A 26,356-nucleotide genomic window follows, 5' to 3' on the forward strand; every position below is an offset into this window, starting at 1 on the left:
CCAGAGGGCAGGGGCTGCTGCCAGCAAGAGGGGCAGTGGGGAGCATGCTCTTCGTCCTGTGCAGACCCCAAACAGGCCACACCCAGGCCCCGGGCTCAGAACTGTCCCCCTCCCCCACGCTCATCCCTTAGGCCCCACGATTCAGGGACCTGTAGAAAGGTGCACGGTGCTTCCCTGTATTTCCTTCCCTAGTGATGCCTGATTGTTACAGGTTCTTCTCAGGTGCCCTCCCAGGCCAGTCCTGCAGCATCTCCGTGGGCCTCACATTCATCCAAGGCTAAGGATCCTACAGGTTTCTGGGGACTGATCCTCCAGGTTTCAGGAGGTTGGGGCAGGAGTTGAGAGTCTGCATTTTCGCCTGGCGGCCCGAGTGCGTGCTGACCGTCGGGCAAGTTAGGAAGCTGGCCCTGTCTCCTCTCATGCCCGCAACAGCCATTTCCACAGGAAGTGAGATCACTCCCATTTCAGAGAAGGGAAATCCCAGGCTCAAGCAGGTGGAGGGACTTCACCTGAGTCCCACAGCTGGACACAGTGCAAGCCCACATGCGAGCCTGGGGCTGAATGGCTCCAAAGCCCCTGATCCGAGGCCCCGCCTGCTGCCCTGCTGGAATGGAGGCCTAGGCTGTGGGGCCCTCGGCTGCTAAGGGGGTTCTGTGGGGCCTGGACAGATGGGGCTCCCTGGGCTTCACCGACACCCCCATACACATTTCAAGGGCCCTACACTCCCTGCGCCCCCCGGTCCCGCCCCGGGCCCTCGGGCACTCACAGCGGCCCAGCCTCTCGGCTGGGATGCCAATGCGCATGCAGTTGGCAGCGTCGGGGCTCTCAGGCATGGGCAGCGCCTCACACTTGGGCAGCTGAAGCCGCATGAGGATGAGCGGGTTGGAGCGGGCGATGGTGTACTCCTGGCGGCACAGGTCGCTCTCCAGCACCTCGCACTCGTCGCGGCACAGCTCACGCGGCTTGGGTGTCCGGGAGCGCGCGTCGCACAGAGGAAACACGAAGTGGCAGAAGGATGGGATGGCGAACTGTGAGCACTGGTCCGACAGGTGCGTAGACGTGCCGATCATGGTGAAGGCCGCTGCAGAGCCCGCGAGACTCGCGTTAGCGGGGGACCCACCTTGCGCCCTTGACATTCATCCAGTCCCCACCCCCAGCCTGGCATCCCAGACTGCCCACTCAGCCCCCTGATGCCCCGCCCCGCCCCAGACTCCCCAACCCCGAGCCCCGCACACCACCCTGGAGAGGCTCCCCACCAGCAGGCCAGCCTGCCCATCACCTGCTCTGATTTGCAGCAGTCACAGAAAAGTCCCTGGTCCCAGGGCCTCACTTAGAAACATCAGAAGCAGAACAAGAAAGAAGGAAAACTCGGCCCCCTAGCTCACTCCGCTAGGTGCTTCTTCCAGGACAAGAGGGTTCAGACTTCAGATGCAAAAGCAGATCCTAAGGACCCGCCATGTGTGGAGAGCGCAGGCCAAGAAGTGCAGTACCGAGCCCCAGGCTTCCCAATGTCCCAGATCTGTCTGGGGAGAAGGCTGTCCCGGAAGAGGGAGTCAGCTCAGCTCTGTGAACTGCAGCTGGAGGAGACAGTTGGTAAAATGCGGAAAGCCAAGAGGGTGAGAGCAGCAAAGTGGGAGGAGAGCCGCGTTACAACTCTGGAAGGTTCTGTGATAAGGGGGAGCAGAAAAACCCGAAGATCCAGAGCCCCCTTTGGTAGGGCGGTTTGTTTTTTAAGGGCAAGATGTCAGAGGATGCAGTTTGGTGGTTAGAAGATGGGGTGAGTTCGGGAACAAAGTGGGGGTGTTGGGGAGAGATCTGCTGCACCTGGGGTGCATGGCTGGACACTGGTAAGGGTGAAGAAGCTGGCCAAGGCAGGGCTCTAAGGAATGCATCAGCCTGCCCTGGGCTCACTACCCCATTTTCACCTGTGAAAGGCTGGCTTACAACAATTGAGCTTGGGGACAGTGGAGGCAGACAGGCCCCTTTGCCTGCACACCCAGCAGAGGCTGTGTCCTCCAGCGTGGCAGAAAACCCAGAAGCTGGCATTTAGTCCCTGAGGAGCCCTAACTCCACCCACGAATGCAGTTCAATCCCATCATTACAGATTTGGCGATTATTTGGTGATTATACAGAGGGCTGTCAAGAATGCTGGCCTTGACCTCCAGGCAAGGAAAGCGTGTAAGTGCTGTGCCAGGTTTGGCCAGCAGGTGGCAGTGCCGCTGTCAGTCATTCCCTGGGAACCCACCCAGGAACGGGATGGGCAGCTGTGTGGGAACAGCCTTGTGCGTGATCACTTTGTGGTATCACTCATGCCTTTCCGGGCCTGTTTCTGTACCTGAAGAGTGATTTGAGACCCCACACTGGGGAATGAGAGTGCACACAGAGCCTATAAAGTGGCCCTCAGCGTGAATGGGCCCAGGGGTCTGGTAAAAGGCGGCGTCAGTGGGCGGGAGCAGCCACGCTGTCCTGATTGTGTGCAGGCACTACTGTGCTCATCACATCACCTCCCCTCCTCTGGGTTCCTGTGGCCGATATTTAAATGGAGGAACAGAGAGGGCAAGCAGTTACAGTACAGGATGTCTTGGATTTGGAGGAAGAACTGAGGCTTCAACCCTGTTCAATCCCATCATTACAGATTTGGGATTATATGGATGGCTGTCAAAAATGTAGGTAGGCCTTGACCTCCAGGCAGGGAAAGATTGTCTAAGAATGCCAAAGCTGTCACTTCTCTTGGGCTAATCCACTGATAGGATGTCTCTGCTGATCTTTATAGGATTTCTCTTTCTCCTTCTCCTCACCCTGAGAATGTACTGCTTATTTCTGAAAGTGCAATTCTAGGCACAAAGAGATCCAACAACTCACATCCTGTTATCTGTCCACACCCTGAATGTCACACAACACTTTCCAACACAACACTGCACACAACGCAGTCATTACTATGCTTATTTCAAAACCACAAGTCTGTTGAGAGCAACTTCAAATTTACTGTTTTCAAAAAGCCACCCACCTAGAAAATCTTCATTCTAAACTCTTCTCTAAAAGATGCTATAAAACCAGGCTGCTTGGATGCAAGCTGATTCCTTAAACAACTCCTGAAGAGATAACTGAGGGACAATCTTGTGCCCTGGATCAGTGCTTGCCAATTAGTAGGGTGTCTAATTAATTCTGAGAGTCTGCAGCTAGCATTTTAAAAGATGGTAAGAACAGACTAGAGGATGTCAGAATGCACGGTTCCTACTAAGGGCTCTAACTTTTTTTTTTTTTTTTTTTTTTTTTTTTTTTTTTTTTGAGACAGAGTCTTGCTCTGTCTCTGGGGCTGGAGTGCAGTGGCGCGATCTGCAACTTCCACCTCTCGGGTTTAAGTGATTCTTCTGCCTCAGCCTCCCAAGTAGCTGGGATTACAGGCACCCGCCACCATGCCCAGCTAATTTTTTGTGTTTTTAGTAGAGATGGGGTTTCACCATGTTGGTCAGGCTGGTCTTGAACTCCTGACCTCGTGATTTGCCCGCCTCAGCCTCCGAAAGTGCTAGGATTACAGGCGTGAGCCACCGTGCCCGGCCACTTTTTTATTTAATGAAATAAAACTGAAAAGAAAAATCCAAGTGCACCGCTTTTACGAAGGGTGAAAGTTATTCCCTGTAACCTATGTCAGTTGTGTGAAATACATGTATGTGTACACTAAGTCATGGCGTAAAGTATATTCTCTATTTTCCACTGTGTGTTTCGGTAAAAACCTTTGAGAAGTCCTACTTTAATGGCAAAGAAAGCTTTTGCAGTGAGAGGTAGCCATATTTTCAAAACCATCTCCCGCTGGAACAGGATGGCATCTCCAGGTTCCTCTCTGTCTCATGATGGCTCTTTCAGTTTGCACAGGACCCCCTGGCCCTGTCCTCAGAGGTCTCTGTACCAGCACATGGGCCAGGCAGTCTCTTCTGTGACCGTGAATGTGATGTTCGACTCTCTAGTCCGAGGGTGACCTGAACTTAGAAGGGCTTGTCAGTGACATGAGGTGACTTTCTGCCTTGGATCCTCATTGTCACCCCTTAACAGGTCAGTGCCCTGTATCCCCTTTGCCCCACCACACTCTCCCAGGAGCGCAGGCATCAGAGATCACCCACTGACTCTAATCTGCAGCAGAGCCTCCCGCTCCCATGGAGAGGATCCAACTAAACTGAGGTGCTGGGGCACCGGCCATCTGCACAGGATGTGTCTTGCTCCTTATGGGATCTGGAGAGAAAATGTGTATGTGTTTGTGGAGAGAGTAGAGACAGCAGGAGGAGGGCTCTGTAGGACTATTGTCTAATTAATTTTCTTCCTTTCCAAGGCCTTTCCCCTAAGAAGGACCCCGGACCCCATCAATGTGTTCGAGTTGTATGCTGGGAACTGGGACAGCCAATCAGAGAAGTTAAGTCCTAATGAGACCAAGGATGAGCAGCTGCAGTTCCTAATTGACTTGCCACTTTCTCAGACCCTGAACCAGGTACCCAAAGACGTGGCTTTGTTCTCTGGAAACCCAGGACTGACAAAGTGTGTGTTCACTGCAGCATCCCTACCACTGATGACCCGCGACTCTTTCCCCAAAACAGCTGCAATCAGGCCTGGGTGCCTTTGGACCAAACGTGGCTCAGAGAGGATAGAAGAGTCAGGAAGTACAGAATGAGAAGTCAAGCAGAGTGAGTGTGGGGGCGCTGAGGCTATCTGCGCCAGTGTGGCAGGCCCGGGGCAGGAGGCCCTGGCGTTGCAGTGAGGACAGTGCTTTGGACCCACACGGTTTGGCTGAGTTAAAAGTGCAGAAGTATATTCCAAGCAACCCACACTTGCTAATTTAAACATACAGGCCAGGAACATTTTTAGGGCAAATCATGTTAGCAATTGCCACTACTTCTAAAAAAGATCTCTGGTTTCTACCACAAATGAAATGGAAGAGGCACCCACTGACCATGCCATTAACTGATGAAACACAGTGGCCACCATCTGTGCGACAGATGGCTGTGTGCATGCTTATCATCCTGGGAGAAAGGTCTGCAGCTCCTACCTGTGATTCGGTTTTCAATCTCCCCCTGCATCTGAAGCGAGTCCACATAAATGGTCCGGTTGCCAATGAAGCGTGCACAGGCAATTCCCCGGTAAGGCTGGCAGAACCCATCCTCGTGGTAATCATCCCTGGTAAGAAACACACAAAGTCTGTTAGAGCTCTGGGAGGTGCCAGGTCCCGCCAATGACTTCTTTTATGATCCAGCATCTTGCGATCCAGCAATTTTGTTACTTGGTATTTATATAAGTAAATTTAAATAAGTAGAACACATAAGTCACACAAAAACCTGTATGTAAATGTTTATGGCAGCTTTATTCATAATTGTCAAAACTTGGAAGCAATAAGATGTCTTTCTGTAGGTGAATGGATAAACAAACTGTGGTACATCCAGACACTGGTATTATTTAGTGCTAAAAAAAAATGAGCTATCAAGCCACAAAAAGAGAGGAAACTTACATGCATATTACTAGGTGAAAAGAGCCAATCTGAAGGCTACATACATACTGTATGATTCCAATCATATGACATTCTAGAAAGTGCAAAACCATGGACAGCAAAACTATAGAGACTGGTTATAGAGAAATGTCAGTGGATGCCAGGGGTTATGAGGGAGGGAGGGATGGATTCCAAGAGACACACTGGGGTTTTAGGGCAGTGAAATATTCTGTATGATACTGTAATGGTGAGCACACGTCACTATACATTGGGCAAAACCCATAGAAGGTAAAACATAAAGAATAAGCCCTAATGTAAACTACTGATTTTAGTTAATAATAATGTTATCAATATTGGCTCAGCAGCAATAAATGTCTCACATGAATGCAAGACATTAAAATAAGGGAAACTATGAGAAGGAGGGCGGGAAGACTCTGGATTTTCTGTTCAATTTTTCTATAAACCTACAACTGTTCTAAAAAATGCCTATTAATTTCAAAAAATTCCACATCTTTAAGGGAGTATGGAAAAAGAATGGGAGGACTGGTTAAGGGTGAGGATGATTCTTGAGGTGAAGGGTACACGGGGATGGGTATGTGTTTGTGTATACATGCACATACCCAGAACATCAGGCACGTGTTTCACCTTACCCTTGAACTATTTAATACATCAGGGACATTATGGCAATGCCCCTGCAAACTTCCCTTGTTTGCAAACAAGGCTTTTATGATAACGATGACAATCCACAAGGTAAACAGCAGAAATATTTGAAAAGGAGAAAAGCAATACACAAATGTATTCTCTACTATGTTCAAAGGTGATGGTAGGGACTCCAAGAAGTCCAAGCCTCAAAGAACTCACAGAATGGCATACATGCATGCCTACTCTACGCAGAAGTGCGACCTGGCCACCGCTGCATGGACGGCACAGACTGCATGTCACAGGCGTAGGAGGTCAGAAGAGGGAGAGACACGGACAGGCTGTTCTCCCTCCTGCTCCTCCCGGTCAGCCTGCATGGATGGGAAGATGGGGTAATCCTTTCCCAGGTCCCCAGGTTGGAGTTTGTGCTGAATTATTTTCTGCAGAAACTGTTGGTCTGGCTTCAGCCAATGAAAGCCATCATGATAAGTATCCTGGAGGATTTTAAAGTGGTGCTCAGGACCCTCCAAAGGTCCATTGACGCCAATGAGCCACAGCAGACACATCGGGGGCTGCCACTGCTGGCAGAAGAGGGGACTGAAGATGCTCGGACAAGCCTTGCATGAGCACCTCAAGCCTGTAGCTTGTTTTCCAGAAAATCTGGAACCTACCCCATAAGCCTGAGAGCACTCGGCTTTCCATTCTACATCCATTTAGAGTAGACCATCCCCAAATGAAATCTGAATTCTGTTCAATTTAAGGCTAGGCACAGTGGCTCGTGCCTGTAATCCCAGCACTTTGGGAGGCCAAGGCTGGTGAATCACTTGAGCCCAGGAGATCGAGACCAGTCTGGGCAACATGGTGAAACCCCACCTCTATAAAAAATACAAAAACTAGCTGGGCGTGGTGGCGTGTGCCTGTAGTCTCAGCTACTCAGGAGGCTGAAGTGGGAGGATCACTTGAACTGGGAGACAGAGGCTGCAGTGAGCCGAGATCAAACTACTGGGCTCCAGCCTGGGTGACAAGAGCAAGACCCTGTCTTTAAATTTAAAAAAAAAAAAAAAAAAAAAAAAGAATGTGTTCAGTTTAACCACATGGATTTAAAATCCCTATCTGAACTCTCTTGCTAAGGCAGAGGCTGAACACTTGCAATAGTGAAGACCTTCTCAAGCTTCTGCAGAAAACCCTTTTCTCAAAGAACAGAACCTGGAGCTATAAATACTTCAAGAAAGAGATTTTGGTGTTAACTCCAGCTCACCAGCCATTGTTTCCTTGGGTTAAGGGTTCCTTAAAGGTAGTTTAAATAGGCAGCACATGTGTTAACAATGCGAGCCTGCCTGCCCAGCTTTCACTCTTTTTGCACTGGAGTTAACTGCTGATTAGACACTGGCCACACTACCAACATAAATGGAAGTCACCTCTGCCTGGGTATGTGCTGGACATGTCCCTGTCTGGAGGCGGGCTCAGGGTGCTTTGTCCACTCTGCTAGAAAAATCATTAAGACATGCCTGATCAGATTAATGTCAGCTATGCCTAAGCTATGAGATTCAGATCAGTCCCTTGGGATGCCCCCACAAGTGTAAGCCATTTCTTTTCTACCTTGCAAGAGTCAAGGAAGAGAAGGTTGTTCCCCCTGTTGCAGGCTTCTCCCTGGCCGCTGGTCAGGTGCCCACAGGACAGAGAGAGCAAGGGATGTAAGGAAGATGACAAGGGGGTGCTGGGGTGGAGGGTGCTCCTGCCATCATACCCCGCTCACACTTCCCTCACCGAAGCGGGCTTTCAATCTGAATAGACAATATCCAGGCTGGGCGCGGTGGCTCAAACCTGTAATCCCAGCACTTTGGGAGGCCAAGGTGGGAGGATCACAAGGTCAGAAGATCGAGACCATCCTGGCTAACACGGTGAAACCCCATCTCTACTAAAAATACAAAAACAAAATTAGCCAGGCGTAGTGGTGGGTACCTGTAGTCCCAGCTACTCGGGAGGCTGGGGCAGGAGAATGGCGTGAACCCAGGAGGCGGAGCTTGCAGTGAGCCGAGAATACGCCACTGCACTCCAGCCTGGGTGACAAAGCAAGACTCTGTTTCGGGCGGGGGGGGGAATATATATATGTATATATATATATACATATATATATCCCCAAAAAGCCAGATAGAAGTGCTTGGAAAATGGCATCTTTGCTTTTGAATTGTCTGAGAAAACTATGGGAGTTGCTTTCTATTTTCCAACAATTATATTTTATCTTTATCTGGCACATTTGGGGCCTTGGAAGAGGAACAGAGCTGGAGAGAGTCTGTTAAGTGGATCCCTGGGAAAGCAAGGAAAGGACTGAAACGGAATTTGGCAGCTATAAAATTCCTTCAGCAACGTAAGTGCAGTAGACATGCTCACCAGCTGGTGGAGCATCCACGTTTCAGAAATGAAGTGTGGAAATCCCCTGCCCCTCATGCTGCCAGGCACTGATCCAAGGCCTGACGGGACATGGATGAAGAAGAAACTTCTACACCAAGAAGTGATTGTCAGGGAGGAGAGAGGGTGCTAAATAAAGACAACTCGGCCGGGTGCGGTGGCTCACGCCTGTAATCCCAGAACTTTGGGAGGCCAAGGTGGGTGGATCATGAGGTCAGGCGATCGAGACCATCCTGGCCAACATGATGAAACTCCGTCTCTATTAAAATACAAACAATTAGCCGGGTGTGGTGGTGCACACCTGTAGTCCCAGCTACTCGGGAGGCTGAGGCAGGGGAATCGCTTGAACCCGGGAGGCAGAGGTTGCAGTGAGCAGAGATTGTGCCACTGCACTCCAGCCTGGTGACAGAGCAAGACTCTGTCTCAAGTAGTAATAATAATAATAATAATAATAATAATAATAATAATAAAATAATGACAACCCTGGGTAAGAAAAGCAACAGGAGAGGGGTAGGAGATCAGGGAGAAACAGAGGCAGGGGCCAGCAGACTGTGATGGCAGGTGCTCCTCCACCAAGACTGGCAAGATGGTGGGGATCCACAGCCTTCCCCTAGATGACACATGCTGAGAATAAAAATTCATGGGTATTAATAATGAAGGAGGTTTAAAGGAAACTAAGGCTTTTTTAAGGTTGAAAAGGAATCCATGTCAAAATTCAAATGTAGCTACATATTGCATAGGAAGTTAACATTTTCCCCTAATTGTTTTGTTACAAAGTAGTAACCCATTCTCATAATTGTTTATCTTATTATGAGAGAGGCTGACTGTCTAAATGGGCTGCCTGCCTAGGTGAAGCAGAGGAAGCTCAATCTGTGACTCACCAGGAGACAGAGCAGACCAGCCACATTCACAAAGCAAAAACTCCCTAAGCATTGGGTGCTCTGACAGTAAGCTAATATGCAGCTGTATCAAAACTCAATACTCTTTACTTTGAATGCAAAACCTAGCATACAAACCATGATGTCCACTATACAATAAAATTACCAGACATGCAAAGAAACAGGAAAATATAACCCGTGGTCAAGAGAAACAAACACAAAGATAACCTAGATGTAAGAATCAGCAGAGCAGGTTGGATTAGGCCATTTTCATACCACTGATAAAAGACATACCTGAGACTGTGAGCAAAAAGGAGTTTAATTGGACTTACAGTTCCACATGGCTGTGGAGGCCTCAGAATCATGGTGGGAGGCACAAGGCACTTCTTACATTGGCAGCGGCAAGAGAAAAATGAGGAAGAAGCAAAAGTGGAAACCCCTGATAAACCCATCAGACCTCGTGAGACTTACTGTGACAAGAACAGCACAGGAAAGACCGACCCCCATGATTCAATTACCTCCCCCTGGGTCCCTCCCGCTACATGTGGGTGATTCAATTACCTCCCCCTGGATCCCTCCTGCAACATGTGGGAATTCTGGGAGATACAATTCAAGTTGAGATTTGGGTGGGGACACAGCCAAACCGTATCACAGGGCTTTAAAGTAATAGATGTGGAAAACACAGAAGAAGGTGTAGTGAAGATGTGGGGTATTTCAGGAGGGATGGAAACTATAAAAGAACTAAACAGGAAGCCTAGAACTGAAACATAAGAGTCTACAATAAAAGATTCATTGGATGGTGCAGCCATGCACCACATAACGATGTTTTTGGTTAACAGCAGACCACATACACAATGGTGGCCCCCTAAGATTACAATGGAGCTGAAAAATCCTCATCGCCTAGTGACATCGGAGCTGTCATAACACTGTAGTGCAATTACTCAATTTTTAATAAACTCACTGTAGCCTAAATGTATAGCGTTTACACAGTCTACAGTAGTGTACAGTAATGTGTAATGTCCTGGGCCTTCACATTCACTCGCGACTTACTCACTGACTCACCAGCAACAGCTTCCAGTCCTGCAAGCTCCATTCATGGTAAGTGCCCTATGTAAGTGTACCATTTCTTAATTTTTATACCATATTTTTACTGTACCTTTGCTGTGTTTAGATATACAAATACCATTACGTTACTGTTGCCTACAGTATTCAGTATAGTCATATGCTGTACAAGTCTGTAGCCTAGGAGCAACAGGCTGTACCATATAGCCTAGGTGTGCAGTAGGGGAAATCATCTAGGTTTGTGTGAGTACACTCTATGATGTCCCTACAAGGAGAAAATCACTAATGCATTTCTCACAACGTATCTCCACTGTTACATGATGCATGACTGTATAACAGAGTGGATACAGCAGAAGAAAAAAATCTATGAACTTGAAGACAGATCAACAGGAGATTTCCAAACTGAAGCAAAGAGACAAAAAGACTGACAACTCTGATACAAATATCTAACAAGGACATCAGAAAAATATGATAAGGGCCGGGTGCAGTGGCTCACATCTGTAATCCCAGCATTTTGGGAGGCCGAGGCAGGTGAATCACTTGAGGTCAGGAGTTCAAGACCAGCCTGGCCAACATTGTGAAACGCCATCTCTACTAAAAATACAAAATTAGCCAGGCGTGGTGATGCGTGCCTGTAATCCCAGTTACTCAGAAGGCTGAGGCAGGACAATCGCTTGAACCTGGAAGGTGGAAGTTGCCATGAGCCAAGATCATGCCATTGCACTACAGCCTGGGTGACAGAGTAGGACTCCATCTCAAAAAAAAAGAAAAAAGAAAAGAAAAATACGATAAGGACATCACAAGAGTATCTAACAAGGACACCACAAGAGCGTTACAGACCAAAATGCCTACCATCAAAAGGGGCAACGTCCTCCTCAAAACATTAGCAAACTGAATCCAGCAAAATAAACACAGACAATACTAAAGAGGCCCATGGACCAACTGGGGTTAATTTAATGCCACTGCACTCTATATTTGAAAATGGTTAAAATACCTGGGAATAAACCTAACAAAAGATGTCCAAGGCCTCCACACTTGAAACTTCAAAAATCACAATATTGAAATGAAAACATGTTCACAAAAATATGTGAAAACAAATGTTCATGGCTTTATTTATAATTGCCCCCAAATGCTCATCAATAGGTGAATAAACATATTGTAGTACATTCATACAACAGAATACTTCTCAATAAACAGGAATGAAGTGCTGTATAGTTAACCAGAATAAATCTTTCAGACATTACATTTAATGAAAGAGGCCAGACATAAGAGTCTCCAAACAAAATGTCAACAGCACAAGGCAGGAATTTTTAGTTTTTATCTGTTGCATTCATTGTTGTATCCTCAATGTCTTGAATGGGACCTGGCGCACAGTTGACCCTCCACAGAAATTTGTTAACTTTTTTTTTTTTTTTTTTTTTTTTGAGAGACAGAGTATTGCTCTGTCGCTCGCCCAGGCTGGAGTGCAGTATCACGATCTTGGCTCACTGCCACCTCCACCTCCTGGAGGTTGATTCTTCTGCCCAGCTTCCCAAGTAGCTGGGACTACAGGCAGTCACCACCACACCCAGCTAATTTTTGTATTTTTTAGTAGAGATAGAGTTTCATCATATGTTGGCCAGGCTGGTCTCAAACTCCGGACCTCAGGTGATAAGCCCACCTCAGCCTCCCAAAGTGCTGGGATTACACGCGTGAGCCACCACGCCCAGCTGAAGCTGAAATGTGTTAACTGAATGAATGATTTCCTTGAGAATTAGACGCTGTATATTACTCTCTGCTTCCAAAATGAAATACTCTGAATATCTGACTGTACTGATAACAGATGTGGCAAAAACATCCACTTGATCCAACTAAACATGCCCAACACCAATGTTTGATATCATAAAAATCCAAGTCAGCAGAACCTTGGAAATACTGGCTTTTGCAATGGCCACCTCTAAGGCCAGGATCACATAAGGTGGCCAGAGGCAGAGAAGACAATGGCTCTGAGGGTGCCAGTTCCCTGGGAAGTAAATTTTATTTTCCCCTACGCTGTTCAGGTGGCTAGTCCCTCCCAGGTAAGCCAAACACTTTCCCCCTTGGAAGGTTGCTGTATCCTTGAAAAACCCTGAAGTCAGTTGGTAAAAGGCTCTCACTGTGCATAATATGGTGTAAGAGCTAGCCCCTGGAATCCACGGGCTCGGGTGGAAACAAAACAACCTAAAGCGGCATTCCATGTGTGAGTGCACATCAAGTGTGCACATTTTCATTATTGTTGAAATGCAAATATCCTGTGTCACCATATGGTCTCATTTATTATTTATTAATTATATTATATATATATATTTTTGAGACGAAGTCTCGCTCTTTTTGCCCAGGGTAGAATGCAGTGGCGCGATCTCGGCTCACTGCAACCTCCACCTCCTGGGTTCAAGCAATTCTCCTGCCTCAGTCTCCCAAGTAGCTGGGATCACAGGCATCTGCCACCATACCGGACTAATTTTGTATTTTTAGTAGAGACGGGGTTTCTCCATGTTGGTCAGGCTGGTCTCAAACTCCCGACCTCAGATGATCCACCCACCTTGGCTTCCCAAAGTGCTAGGATTACAGGCATGAGCCACCATGCCCAGCCTATTTTTTTTTTTTTTTTTTTTTGAGATGGAGTTTTGCTCGTTGCCTAGGCTGGAGTGCAATGGCGCGCTCTCAGCTCACTGCAACCTCCACCTCCCTGGTTCAAGCAGTTCTGCCTCAGACTCCCAAGCAGCTGGGATTACAGGTGTGTGCCACCACACCTGGCTAATTTTTCTATTTTTAGTAGGGATGGGGTTTCACCATGTTGGCCAGACTGGTATTGAACTCCTGACCTCAGGTGATCCGCCCACCTCGGCCTCCCAAAGTGTTGGGATTACAGGCATTGAGCCACCGCGCCCAGCCTATAGTCTGCATTTAGAAATGTGTATCTATTCTCGAATTATCTTACTGATGATTGTCTATTTAGTCACCTACTGCTTGTATCACATAACCTTAAATTCAGTTTCTAGCTTTTATTCCGGTTCTGTACTATGGGATTTAAGGAAAGTTGTATTTTCTAGAAAACAGAACTTACCATAAAAAGATGTCACTGAGAAAAAAATTAGACTGGCTTCCCTCCTTCAAGTTCTGTCTGAATTAAGTTGAACTTGATTAGGTTGGTGGTCTGAGGGCTTTAATATCAAATGCCAAATGTCAGCCTTTTGCCTGAGTTTGTCAGCAATAAGGTGGCTTGGTTTTTTTGTTTGTTTATTTATTTATTTATTTTTTAAAACATGGAGTCTCGCTCTGTTGGCCAGGCTGGAGTGCAGTGGTGTGATCTCGGCTCACTGCAACCTCCACCTCCCAGGTTCAAGCAATTCTCAGGCATCAGCCTCCCTAGTACCTGGGATTACAGGCACGCACCACCACGCCTGGCTAATGTTTGTATTTTTAGTAGAAAGAGGGTTTCACCAAGTTGGCCCGGCTGGTTTCCATCTCCTGACTTCAAGTGATCAGCCCGCCCTGGCCTCCCAAAGTGCTGGGATTACAGGCCTGAGCCACCATGCCTGGCCTGGCCTGGTTTCTGCTCACGTCATTTCTAATTACCAGCTTCTTACTTGGCACTTTCAATTTTATAGTGCTGTTTTCCTGTAATTAGGATAAACTCTGAACTAGACTTATGAAAACTCCCCGAAAATAGCAATGGAAGGAGTTTGGGCTGGCAGCTGGCCGAATTCCGTGTAGACACACTTGGCGAGCGGTGCCTTCGAATCATCCACTTGGCGAGAGGTGCCTTCAAATCATCCACCTGGAGAGGCTCATTATGTGGGTGAAACATATGGGGCTGGAGCTGGGGAGATAAGTCAGACTTGAAAACAAGGAGTCCCGGGTCACAAACATCTGGATGGAGAACGGCTGAAGTCTTGGAATTAACTGATTCTTGTTCCCATAAGAAAATAACAGGGCCATGGCCCCAGGAAGGTGATTTCCCAGAGGCCAATAATTAACATAACTTTTCATTATTCAAAAGAATAACACACTTTCCTTGAGCAGGTGTGTGTGTGTGTGTGTGTGTGTGTGTGTGTAGCACAATATGCATGCACACACCTGTGGGCCATGGGGTGGGTCCAGGACAGCAACACACGCCAGCCAAGGGCTCTGGTGCTCTGACTTCGGGAAGGCAGCACGCCCCACCCCACCACTTCCCTCCCACTAGAAGCAGGACCTGTGTATGGGCCTATACTCATCTAAATGTGCCACGTTTCAGCAGAGCAGGAAAAACAAAACCCACATATGAAATATGAGACAGGCAGCCTAGCATTAATCTCCAAGCACGACCAACACTGCCGCTGAGTCAGCTTGGATAACCCGGGCCTCGGAAGGTCCATCTGTGGAGGCACCGCCTTTTCTTCAAGCTTTGTTCTCCATATACACACCCTCCTCACCCCCAATTAAACAGGGATAGAAGGGAAAGCAATGTCTTATGGTGGTAAATCCTTTAACCTTCAAGGATATCCACCTCCCTCAACATGCACAAGCTTTAGTCCCACACATCACAGCGCTCACGCGTGTGGACAGGCCAGGGCAGCACCCAAGGAAGAGCCACGAGTGGAAGGCCTGAGTTAGCAACCATCAGAGTTCATGGCTAAGAATCCATGGTACCATGTCTTGCTGTCACGCTGCACACAGGGCTAAGCCAAGGCGATACTACTATTCGCTGTTCAACTCTCCATTTATACAGACAGGACACACCTCTTGACCAACAATGAAAGAATGCGAACTGTTGTGCATTTTCTATAGAAGTGGCCCAAAAGAGGTGTCACTGATTGATAAACTGGTCGAGTAAAAGAATCAGAGAAACTGTGGATTATTGTTTTAAGCTCACTGATTCTCTCCTATCTTTGGTTAAGGTCCAGAGATATCGTAAGCATATCATCACGGTGGGGCGGGGGAGGAGTCAGTCTACTGAAACAGAATCAGGGTCACTGGGGAAAAGAAACTCATGGCTGCAGAAAGATGACAGCCAGTGGGCTGCTACTACACACTACAAAGTCAAAGGATGTCCTCGTGTGGAAAAGCCCTCTGCCAGAAAGCACAGTGGTGGTTACCAGAGGCTGGGACTGTGGAACTGGGGAGATGTTGGTCAAAGGATACAAAATTTCAGTTAGAAGGAGGACTAAGGTCAAGAGATCGGTTTTACAACATGACTATAGTGAATAACAATGTATTGGCAGATCACCTGGGGTCAGGAGTTCGAGATCAGCCTGGCCAATATGATGAAACCCTGTCTCTACTAAAAAACCAACCAACAAACAAAAAAATTAGCCAGGCATGGTGGTGCACGCCTGTAATCCCAGCTCCTCGGGAGACTGAGGCAGAAGAATTGCTTGAACCTGGGAGGCGGAGGTTTCAGTGAGCCAAGACTGTGCACTGCTGCACTCCAGCCTGGGCGAAAAAGCGAGACGCTGTCTCAAAAAAAAAAAAATGCCAAAGAGAATAGACTTTAAGTGTTTTCACTACAAGAAAATGATGAGTTGTCAAGTGAGACATATGTCCATTAACTTGATTTAGCCATTTCACAATGTACACATATATCAAAACATCGTGTTGTACACTGGAATATAGATAATTTTTATTGAATACATAAAGGTGGGAATAGAAAAAAGTATTTGTAGAAAACTTTAATTCCCCCATGGAAAAAAAATCCAAAAGATACTTCAGGAAAAAATAATGAAAAAGTTCAACAAAGTTGTGGGTGTAAGATTTGTATTTAAAATTTAATGCCTTTCTCAACCACCACTAGCACACAATTTAAAAATAAAATTTGGGAGAGAAAGATTATCAGTATCATTAGCAGAATCAATGAACCACCTGGAAACATACTTAAGAAAGATATGCCGGGTCGTCATGGAGAAAATTATAAAACTATATTGCAAAGGGCACAGAGGCCGGGCCTGGTGGCTCACGCCTGCAATCCCAGCATTTTGGGAGGCTGAGGCGTGTGGATCACCTGAGGTCAGGAGACCAGCCTGACCAACATGGTGGAACCCTGTCTCTACTAAAAATACAAAAATTAGCCGGGCGTGGTGGCAGGCGCCTGTAATCCCAGCTACTCAGGAGGCTGAGGCAGAGAATCACTTGAACCTGGGAGGCGGAGGCTGCAGTGAGCCGATACCGTGCCACTGCACTGCAGCCTGGGCAACAAGAGCGAAACTCCGTCTCCAAAGAAAGGAAAGAAAAAAAATAAAAGCACACAGACAACTTAAAGAAATATCAAACTACAAACTAGAAACAGCAGCATTAGTTCTCCCCTAATCAATCAAACTTCTATTCAATTCTAATACAAAGATATAAAATTCACAAGGAAAAGAACAAGGCAAATAACAGGAAAGATAATTTAGAAAAATGGTATGGTAATAAGGTGGGTCAATCATCAGTTTAGGCTGCCATAACTAATATCATAGACGGTGGCTTAAGCAACAGAATGTATTTTCTCACACTCTGGAGGCTGGAAGTCCAACATCAAGGTGCCAGCCACTTTGGCTCCTGGTGGGGGTTCTCCTCCTGCCTTCCAGATGGCACCTGAGATCTCTGTATCTCTTCCTCTTGTATAAAGACACCAGTACTCTTGGATCAGGGCTCCACCCTTATGACCTTATTTAACCTTAACCACCTTTCTAAAGGTCCTGTCTCCAGTACAGGCTCTGTCACCACATGAATTTGGTGGGAAACACATTTCAGTCCATAGCAGTAGAGGAGGGTATGTTTCCCTATATATGGCAAGATATATTACAAAGCTGTACTGTTAGCATACTGTGGAATTCGTCCAGGAACAGAAGCTATAGGGACAAAACAGCCTATAAGCAGACCCCCATCTATAGAAATTTCACACAGGACAGGGGTGATATTAAATTTAATGATTACAGATTAGGTAATTCATTAGATGATGCCAAGACTCCAGGCCATCTGTAGAGAAAAATGTTATAGGAGAATACTAGCTTATACCAGCATAAAAATAAATTCTAGATGGAGTAATAACTATGTAAAGGCATATACCTAGAAATTATTTTGAAACTCTTATAAAGCAAGAAAAACACATATTCTTTCTTTTTTTTGAGACTAAGTATTGTTCTGTCGCCCAGGCTGGAGTGAAGTGGCGTGATCTTGGCTCACTGCAACCTCCGCCTCCCAGGTTCAAGCAATTCTCCTGTCTCCGCCTCCCAAGTAGCTGGAATTACAGGCATGTGCCACCATGCCCAGCTAATTTTTATATTTTTAGTAGAGATGGGGTTTCACGATGTTGGCCAGGCTGGTCTTGAACTCGTGACCTCAGGTGATCCACCCGCCTTGGCCTCCCAAAGTGTTGGTATTACAGGCATGAGCCGCTGCACCCGGCCGAAAAACACATATCCTAACAGAAACATGGACAAAGTGCAGGCTATTTTAGTTATCTACCATAGTTATTTTCTATAATGTCACGACAAACACTGAATTAGTGAATATTGAGCCACTGTTCCCAGGGAAAATACAGTTAGTTTTCTGAGAGCCTCTGGTTAAAACATTTGCTTCAACCAATCAATACACATCTTGTTTTATGTACATTTTTGGTTAAAGACATCTTATTTGATGTATATTATTGATTCGTGGAAAACGCACAGCCTCTAACAACACATCTTCTCCGTAAGGCACATCACAGCTCCCTGCACTTGGGACACCAGATGGCACTTCAGCGCCACGCCTGGGAGCCATTTACAACAGCAGAATCACCAACAGAAAGCACACAAATAGGAAAAACGTGACACTAAGTAGACAGAAAGGATATGTGCTCACAGTATGAGGACTAGAACAAGAAGGCAGTGTAGTTTGGTTCAGTCTCAGCTGGAAACATGTGTCAGGGAGCTCAGGTTTTTCTCCACTCTGTGCATGTCCAAGAATGACCATGAAAATACCACGAGTGTTGATTTGGGGGACACGAAGTTTAGTGAATAAGCAAATTTGCAAATATGGAATCTGAAAATAATGAGGATAGGCTGGATACACACAGGCAATGCAATGGCTTTTAGAACGACAAAATGATGTTCAACCTCACTATTTACTGGTGAAATGTAATGTAAAATTACTATTTGACACCTAAGATGCTGGCAACATTTTAAGTTCTGATAATACCATGTGCTAGAAAACATGAGGAAATAATAACTCATGTGTTGCAGGTGAGGCTATGAATGACTTGGCCATCATAGAGGGCAATCTGGCCATTCCTGGGAGAGGTGGGAGATGCACACCCGTAATCCTGCTTCCTGATCTCTGTCCCTGGAGGACTTTCACCCATAGGGACAAAGAGACTTGGGATGCACAGTCACTATAAGAGGGTCCCTATCAGTGAAAAGAACTAACCTTCACTCGGCAGTCAATGCATGATTCAAGTGGAAACTGACTCACAGAATGGAATACTGTATATTAGTTAAAATGAATTTAACTATGTATTAACATGGACTTTCAGACTGGAAAGGTCTCCACATCAACCTCCCAAAAAAAGTCTAGTTATGCATCATTTACAAGAGACCTACATAAAACAGAACACAAAAAGGTGAAAGACTAAAGAGTGGGACAGGAATCATAAAAACGGTTCCTGGCAAATGCAAATTTAAAAAGCATGTGGAACTCTATTATTGTTAGGCAAAACTGAATTCAAGGCAAAAAGCACTAAAAGGGACTGTAAAAAGAAACCAAAAAACCCCACAAAAACCTATATAACCTTAAAATACACACAAAATATTAAAAATAGAGAACTAATAGAAACTAGCAAATCCAGATTGAGTGTGGGTGACTTTCACAAATCTTCAGGTATCTGGTACTCATGTGGATAAAAAATATATAGATATTTTTAATAACATACTTAATACTCAATCTCACAGATGAGTCAAGAAATGTGCAGATACATCAAAGCACACGTATTTTTGAAACAACAGGCAAGATTCACAAAAATGGACCGTATCTAACTGGTTACAAAGAAAAATCTCAATAAATTATCAAGAATAAAACATAAACAGCCCATATTCACTAATAATAATGCAACAAAAATCAGAAAACAGTATCAAACAACAGAAGCCTAAATGCGTGGTGGAAGCAGGGAGATGGTATTCAGAGGAAACTTTACAGCTTTAAATACATTTATTTGAAAATTTAAAAATGACTAGTAAAAATTGCTTTTTCAAGAGGCTGGAATGATATAAAAAATCACTTGAATCACTGCATACACCGGAATAGCTACACTTAAAAAGGCTGACCACACCAATGTTGGGAAATATGTGGAGTCATCACAAGTCTCCCACACTGTGGGTGGAGGTAAAAAGAGTTCAGGAGAAGGCCCAGGAATGTCTTATAAAATTAAGCACACACATGCCCTATAATGCAGCAATTCTACGCCTAGTTAACACTAACAGAAATGAAAATGCATGTCCACAAAAAGTATAGAGTATTCCTATACAAGGAACTTTATTCATAGTAGTCAAGCCTGGAATCTGCTTAGGTGTCCTTCAACAGGAGAATGGATAAATCAACGCGTATGTTCATACCATAAAATGCTATTCAGCAATAAACAGCTGTAACCTACTGATACATGTACAACACAGATGAATCTCAAAAGCACTATGCTAAAAGGACGCCAGGCTTAAGTGGCTACATCCTGAAGGATTTCATTTCTGTGATGTTTAATAACAGGAAAAACTAGTCCATTACTTAAAAAATCAGAATAGTGGGTGCCTGGGGTAGAAGGGAGTTGACTAGGAAGTTGCACGACAGAGCCTGCAAGCGTGACAGAGATTCTGTATCTGGATAGGGTGTTTCGATTGCAGAGATTTATGCATTTGTCAGACCTTATAGTGCTATACTTAAGATGTGTGCATTTCACTGGTATGCAAATTTTAACTGAAGAAGGAGGAGCAAGAATCATAAACAGATACTGAACTCTCATTAATGATATATATGCTGAAGTATTTCAGGGTAAATGTACAAGTATCTGCAACTCAGTGAAATGAATGAAAAATCAGATGGATTGATGGACAGATGGAGGCTGGATGGAACGATAAGTGATAAAGTTAGCACAGTAAAATGTAAATGCTAGCATCTAGCTGGTGAGTATACAGGAGCCCACTATAAAATTCTTTCAACCGTATGTTTGAAATTTTTCATTATAAAATGTTAAGAAAAAGAAAACACCTCAAAACACAAAGGAAAGTAGTCCTTGATAAGAAAATTCAATTTAGATATTAATTCTCACCAAACTGACCTAAAAATTCATTGTAATTCCAATCAAACTACCATCAGAATCTTTCAAGGAAATCATGACATTCTTTAACAAGACATAACATGAAAAACAAATTATTAATTTGTAAAAGTTTTAATTTCTATATGATCAAGAAATAAGACATAAAGAATTATCAAAATTCATTAAGAAACAATGTAAAGGAAAAATGAGCGAAGAATATGAAGTGGCAATTGACAAAGAGGAGACATGAGTGCCAAGCAATGTGTGTCCACATGCTCAGCCTCACTAGTAACCAGGGAAATGGAGAACAAAGCAGGTCATTTATTCATTTTTCATCCTTCAGAGTGGCAGAAGTTAACAAGTTTGGAAGTCATCTTATGGAAGATAAGGAGAAATGGGTCCTTTGACGTTGTCGGGAAAGTAACCTACGAATGACCATTTGGCAGTATCAGTTTTAAAAAGGGGATGCCTGTGCCCCTTTAGTTTTTCCTCTTCAGAATCTCTCCTAGAGAAACCCAGCCACAGGTCTCAGGGCCAGGGAAGGGAGACGCGGTGGCACGAGTGGCTGGGATGAGGCTTCCCTGATGGGAATGCCTGTCACAATGGAACAGTCACATGCTCTGCACATGAGTCCAGAAACAGGGAAAGAGAGCATCTGGAAACCTCAAATACACTGAGATGGAAAGATTTCTGTGAATACTGTTAACTAAACATGTCAAGTATAGCATCATTTATGTAAAAAAGTATATAAAACTGATAAGAGGTATTTCTTTTTAAAAATATTTTTGTGTTTATTGTCAAATAGCACTCCAGAAATTTCTCATCAATAGTGTATAGGTAAGCATATTTCTTCATTGCCTCAATAATACTGAGTAATTTATGTGCTTTTAGACCTTTTTTCAAGTTGATTGTTTTGTATTTCCTTAGGTAGATGTATGTATGTACTGAGTGCCTACAAACTCCCTGGATGATTTACCTTTATGACAAGGGAGGCAGGAGGCCTGGAAGGATGGGAGGTCAGGCGGGACTTTCCGAAACTGCCCCAGTCATTTACATCAATGTGTGGATTAAATCCATAACTTAAAGTGAGAAGAAAGTCAATGTAAAAATATTGTGAAATAATTTATATAAATATATATATTTACAATTTGTATATAAATATATGAATGTTTAATATTTGTATAATTATAGCTCTGTAATTATATGTTATGTATTTACAATATATTATATAGTTACATAATATATTTATGTAACTATATATAAATGAACTATAAAAGTTTTATTTATAAAATACATAAATATAGGCCGGGTGCAGTGGCTCATGCCTGTAATCTCAGCACTTTGGGAGGCCAAGGTGGACGGATCACTTGAGGTCAGGAGTTCGAGACCAGTCTGGCCAACATGGTGAAACCCCGTCTCTACTAAAAATACAAACATTAGCCGGGCATGGTGGTGCGCATCTGTAATTTCAGCTACTCGAGGCTCAGACAGGAGAATTGCCTGAACTTGGCAGGCAGAGGTTGCAGTGAGCGGAGACTGCACCACTGCACTCCAGCCTGGGTGACAGGGCGAGACTCTGTCTCAAAAAATAAAATAACTAAAATAAAAGACATAAATATAAAATAAGAGAGAACAATAGTTCAACTTTTGAAATGACTTATATGCCTTTTTCCAAAGCCCCATAATTGTGCTCATGATGCAATTTCTTCTTTCCTTACTCTGTGTCTGAAGGACTATTAAGGAAAAATGCTCCATCACTATTGCTCAGCACAGAATCTTCCCAAATATCTTCCCTCTAGGTCAGGTGTGGTGGCACACACCTACAATCCCAGTGATTTGGGAGGGCGAGACAGGAGGATTGCTCGAGGCAAGAGTTTGTCACCAGTCTGGACAGCATAGTGAGACCCCATCTCTACAAAAAATAAGAAAAAATTATCCGGGTGTGTGGTGGCACGCACCTGCAGTCCCAGCTACTTGGGAGGCTGAAGGGGGAGGATGGCCTGAGCCCAGGAGTACAAGACTACAGTAAGCTGTGATCGTGCCACTGCACTCCAGTCTGGGTGAAAAGCCAGGCCTGTCTATTTGGGGGGGGAAAAAAATCTGCCCTCTGCAAGCAAGCTGCTGATGTCTGCTGAGACAGGTCGCTGCCCTGCCCAGCCTCCCAACGTGGTGTTGCAGCACATCATGGGTGGGTAATGGGTACAAGGCCCAGGGAAACAGAAATCAGCCAACACTGCACACTTTACCAACCATATAGTGTTCATGCTATTGTTCAGAACATCTCAAAGTGAAGCACTGCTCTCCAATATGTCTGAGGAGGAAATGCAGGAAACCCGGACAGTCACTGCTCATCTCAAACACCGGCAATGGAATGAGCACTCCTCTGGGTACACGATGGGAGAGTGTGGGCAGTTCAGAGGGGACTCTCCCAAGACAGCCTGGCCACAGTGGAATAACCTCGTACTGGGAAACCAGAGGCCTGAGTTCAAAGCCACTGCTGTCAGCAGCTCGTGAAGGAGTGTGAGCCTGGCTGTGAGCCTCGGTCTCCTCATCTGCAAGGTGGGGTTGAGACTCCCACCCACTGCCACGGGGTGGCCCAAGGCTCAGGGGCACACATTTATTAACTGCAGCTGGTAGTGCTGGGATTTCAGAGTGAATTACGTCCCTGTTTCCCAATGTCCTAATGAGCCGGTATCCTTCCTGGTGCCCAGGCAACCTGGCCTGTATATTTATACTCCTCTCAGTAGCCCTGTGTAAGGTCACAATCACAGAAAGAAATTAACCATTTTTGTTTTTCTGACTTTTTTTCTGTACAAGAAACATGAAAAATGTAAATGTTTCCCAACCCTAAGCAAGCACGTGGCCACCCCTGTGTGAAGCCCAGCCAACTTCTAGCAAATTCGGCAAAGACATGAGCTGGCAGGATTTAAACCCCGGATTCCTACATAACAAAAACCCTCAGAGCAGCAGAACACGGCTTGGGGAAAACAGATACTTACTGAAAGTTATGATTTGGGCTGTGCGTTGGACCTAAAAAGAGGAAACAAAAAGACAAGTTATTAATACTCCATGATTTGGAATACAACCTTCTTCAAATCAGGCCAGTGGCAAACAGGCTGAAGCCAGCGGGCTCACTGGTGGGCAGCTGTCCTCGGGCCTCAGGCTCCACTCGTGATTACGTCAGCAAGGCTGGAAACCACACACAAGGGAAGGGGTGCTTTGTCACTGAGGATATCTTTGTTTTTGGAGTTTTTGCTGTCCTTACTCTCTCTCTTCTCATCTAGTCTTTACACACAAAATCTGTTTTACTACTTATGATCGGATGGCGTGGGCTTCGGTGGCAGGGCCGGGGCGTTTGCTGCCTGGGAGTTTTTCACAGGTGGGATGAAGGGGGACACAGTCCTTCCTGCCACTTAATTCCTTCACCAGGTGTGACGAGCACAGAGACTCAGAATCTCTGGTCATCGCACTCAGCTCTCTCCCCACCCCAGCCAGGTCAGCCTCGGGCCCTACCTAGCCGTCCTGCAGTGTGGCCACTCTCCCACTGACACCTGACCTCCTAACAAACAGCCTTCCTGCTAAACACCTCAGCTCCTCGTGTGTGCCTGGGATTGTCTTCTGGGCTCCAGGTCCATAAACCTCTCCATCTGCACCTATTTTCTTTTTGTTCTCTTTTTTTTTTTTTTTTTTTTTTTTGAGACAGAGTTTCACTCTTGTCACCCATGCTGGAATGCAATGGCGTGATCTCGGCTCACTGCAACCTCCACCTCCCAGGTTCAAGCGATTCTCCTGCCTCAGCCTCCTGAGTAGCTGGGATTACAGGCGCCCGCCACCATGCCAGGCTAATTTTGTATTTTTAGTAGAGATGGAGTTTCTACTAAACTGGCCAACTACTACCATGTTGGCTAGGCTGATCTCAAACTCCTGACCTCAGGTGATCCGCCCACCTCGGCCTCCCAAAGTGCTGGAATTACAGGCGTGAGCCACCGTGCCTCGCCCTATTTTCTCTTATTACTAGTAAATGGGTAACAGGTCAAGCTGGGCCCTGGGGCACATGGGGAAGGCCCTAGGGAACGGTTTCATTGCTCTCCCCTCGTGCTGACTGGTGTGTGTTCAGTTTCAAATAGCAACTGGACCTCTTGCTCGGTGGCTGGGAACCTTCATATCTGCTAACCCACACAATTTCACTGTCCAACTCACCCAGCCGCACAAACAGGACGCCAGTGGCGGTAATGGTCTTCATCCCGTTGGTGGCCACGCACTGGTAGTAGCCAGTGTCTGTCGTGTCCAGGTCCTGGATTCGCAGTCGTGAACCATATTCTGTCTTCCGGATGATGATCCGCCGCGGCTCCTGCACCACCGGGGCATCATTCTTTAGCCACCGCACGTTAGGGGGTGGGTTTCCTGCCACCTTGCAGTGCAGAATTGCCGTCTGGCCTTGGACAATGGTGATATTGTTTACTGGCTCCAGAAAATTCAGAAAGTAACCTGCCAAGGAGAGCGGTCACAAAAGAGCAAGCGTCAGTGAGGGCTGGAAGGAAGGGCTACCTGGGGGCTCTGCTATGAACTCTTCCAAGGGAAGGTTTCGATTTTTGTCACCTACTAAAATAGGTTGTTATCTGCGGTAATTATCTTCTAGAAAGCTACAGGGAACACTGAATTAGTGAATACTGAACCACTGCTCCTATGGGAAATACAGAGTCAAATTCCTGTGAGCCTCTCGTCATAATACTTTCACCAACCAACCAATACATAACCTTGGTTTATGTGTGTTTCTGTTTAAAGACACCATATTCAATGTGTACTGTTGATTCCTTCACATTGAACCCATGGCCAACAGCCTCATAACTCATGCCTGAACGAAGCTTCTCTCACACACATTTTTTTCTCCATAAGGCATGTCGCAGCTTTCTTGCACTTAGGAACACCAGACCACTTCAGTGCTGTGCCTGGGGGCCATCATAAACAATAAAATCACCAACAAAAAGCCCAAATATGCAAGAAACTTGGCACTAAATAGACCAAGAAAAGGCCACATGTTCACAATATGAGGGCAGAAACCAGGGAGCAGACCATCGCCTTGTTTAGCCCCAGCTGGGACACAAATTTTTCACTGCCGTGGGCGTGTGTCTGTGAAAGGCCACAAAAGCACCGTAAGTATTGATTTGGAGGTTACAAATAGACTTTAGGTATTAGGTGAACTCACAATTACGGAATCTGCAAATGATGAGGATCAACTGTGCTTCTCTTTCCAAACACTACATCTAACCCAGGCTGGTCAAAATGATGTAAATTCACGCTCAGAAAGTCCCTCCTCCTTGCCTACCATATCATTAAGCACAAAGCCACAGAAGTAAAATATTAAAAAAAGATGTGTGACAAAACATGGACATCCCCAAACCAAGCTAATCACAGTCCTGTAAATAGAACAGAAGTTACAATGCTGATGAGGGGGAGCTGAAGGCTTTGTCCTGCTGCACCCAGGTCCAGAGCAGACAGAAGCAGTCCCGCGCACACACACTAGGGGGCACACAGGGTCTTAAAGCACCCAGAATGGGGAGTGAGTGGGCTGCTCCTAAAATAGGAGCTGGAAACACTGCCCTGATAAGTGGGGAGCCCAGTACAGCCACAGGCAGGAGC

The 26,356-nt window shown here is 45.7% G+C and overlaps 1 protein-coding gene across 9 annotated transcripts in view; it reads right to left on the reverse strand.

Annotated features, from left to right (window-relative positions):
• Nucleotides 1-26,356, reverse strand: part of ROR2 (receptor tyrosine kinase like orphan receptor 2) — a 227,628-nt gene that overhangs the window by 9,755 nt on the left and 191,517 nt on the right. For all 9 annotated transcript variants that reach the window (NM_004560.4, XM_005252008.5, XM_047423436.1 and 6 more), the window contains 4 exons: nucleotides 24,917-25,204; nucleotides 23,716-23,746; nucleotides 5,036-5,163; nucleotides 767-1,081 (listed from right to left, as the gene is read on the reverse strand). In NM_004560.4, coding sequence (NP_004551.2) covers nucleotides 767-1,081; nucleotides 5,036-5,163; nucleotides 23,716-23,746; nucleotides 24,917-25,204 — 762 coding nt within the window. The remainder of the gene's footprint in view (nucleotides 1-766; nucleotides 1,082-5,035; nucleotides 5,164-23,715; nucleotides 23,747-24,916; nucleotides 25,205-26,356) is intronic.

Source organism: Homo sapiens, chromosome 9 (genome assembly GCF_000001405.40).
Source record: "Homo sapiens chromosome 9, GRCh38.p14 Primary Assembly".
Classification (NCBI taxonomy): Eukaryota; Metazoa; Chordata; class Mammalia; order Primates; family Hominidae; genus Homo; species Homo sapiens.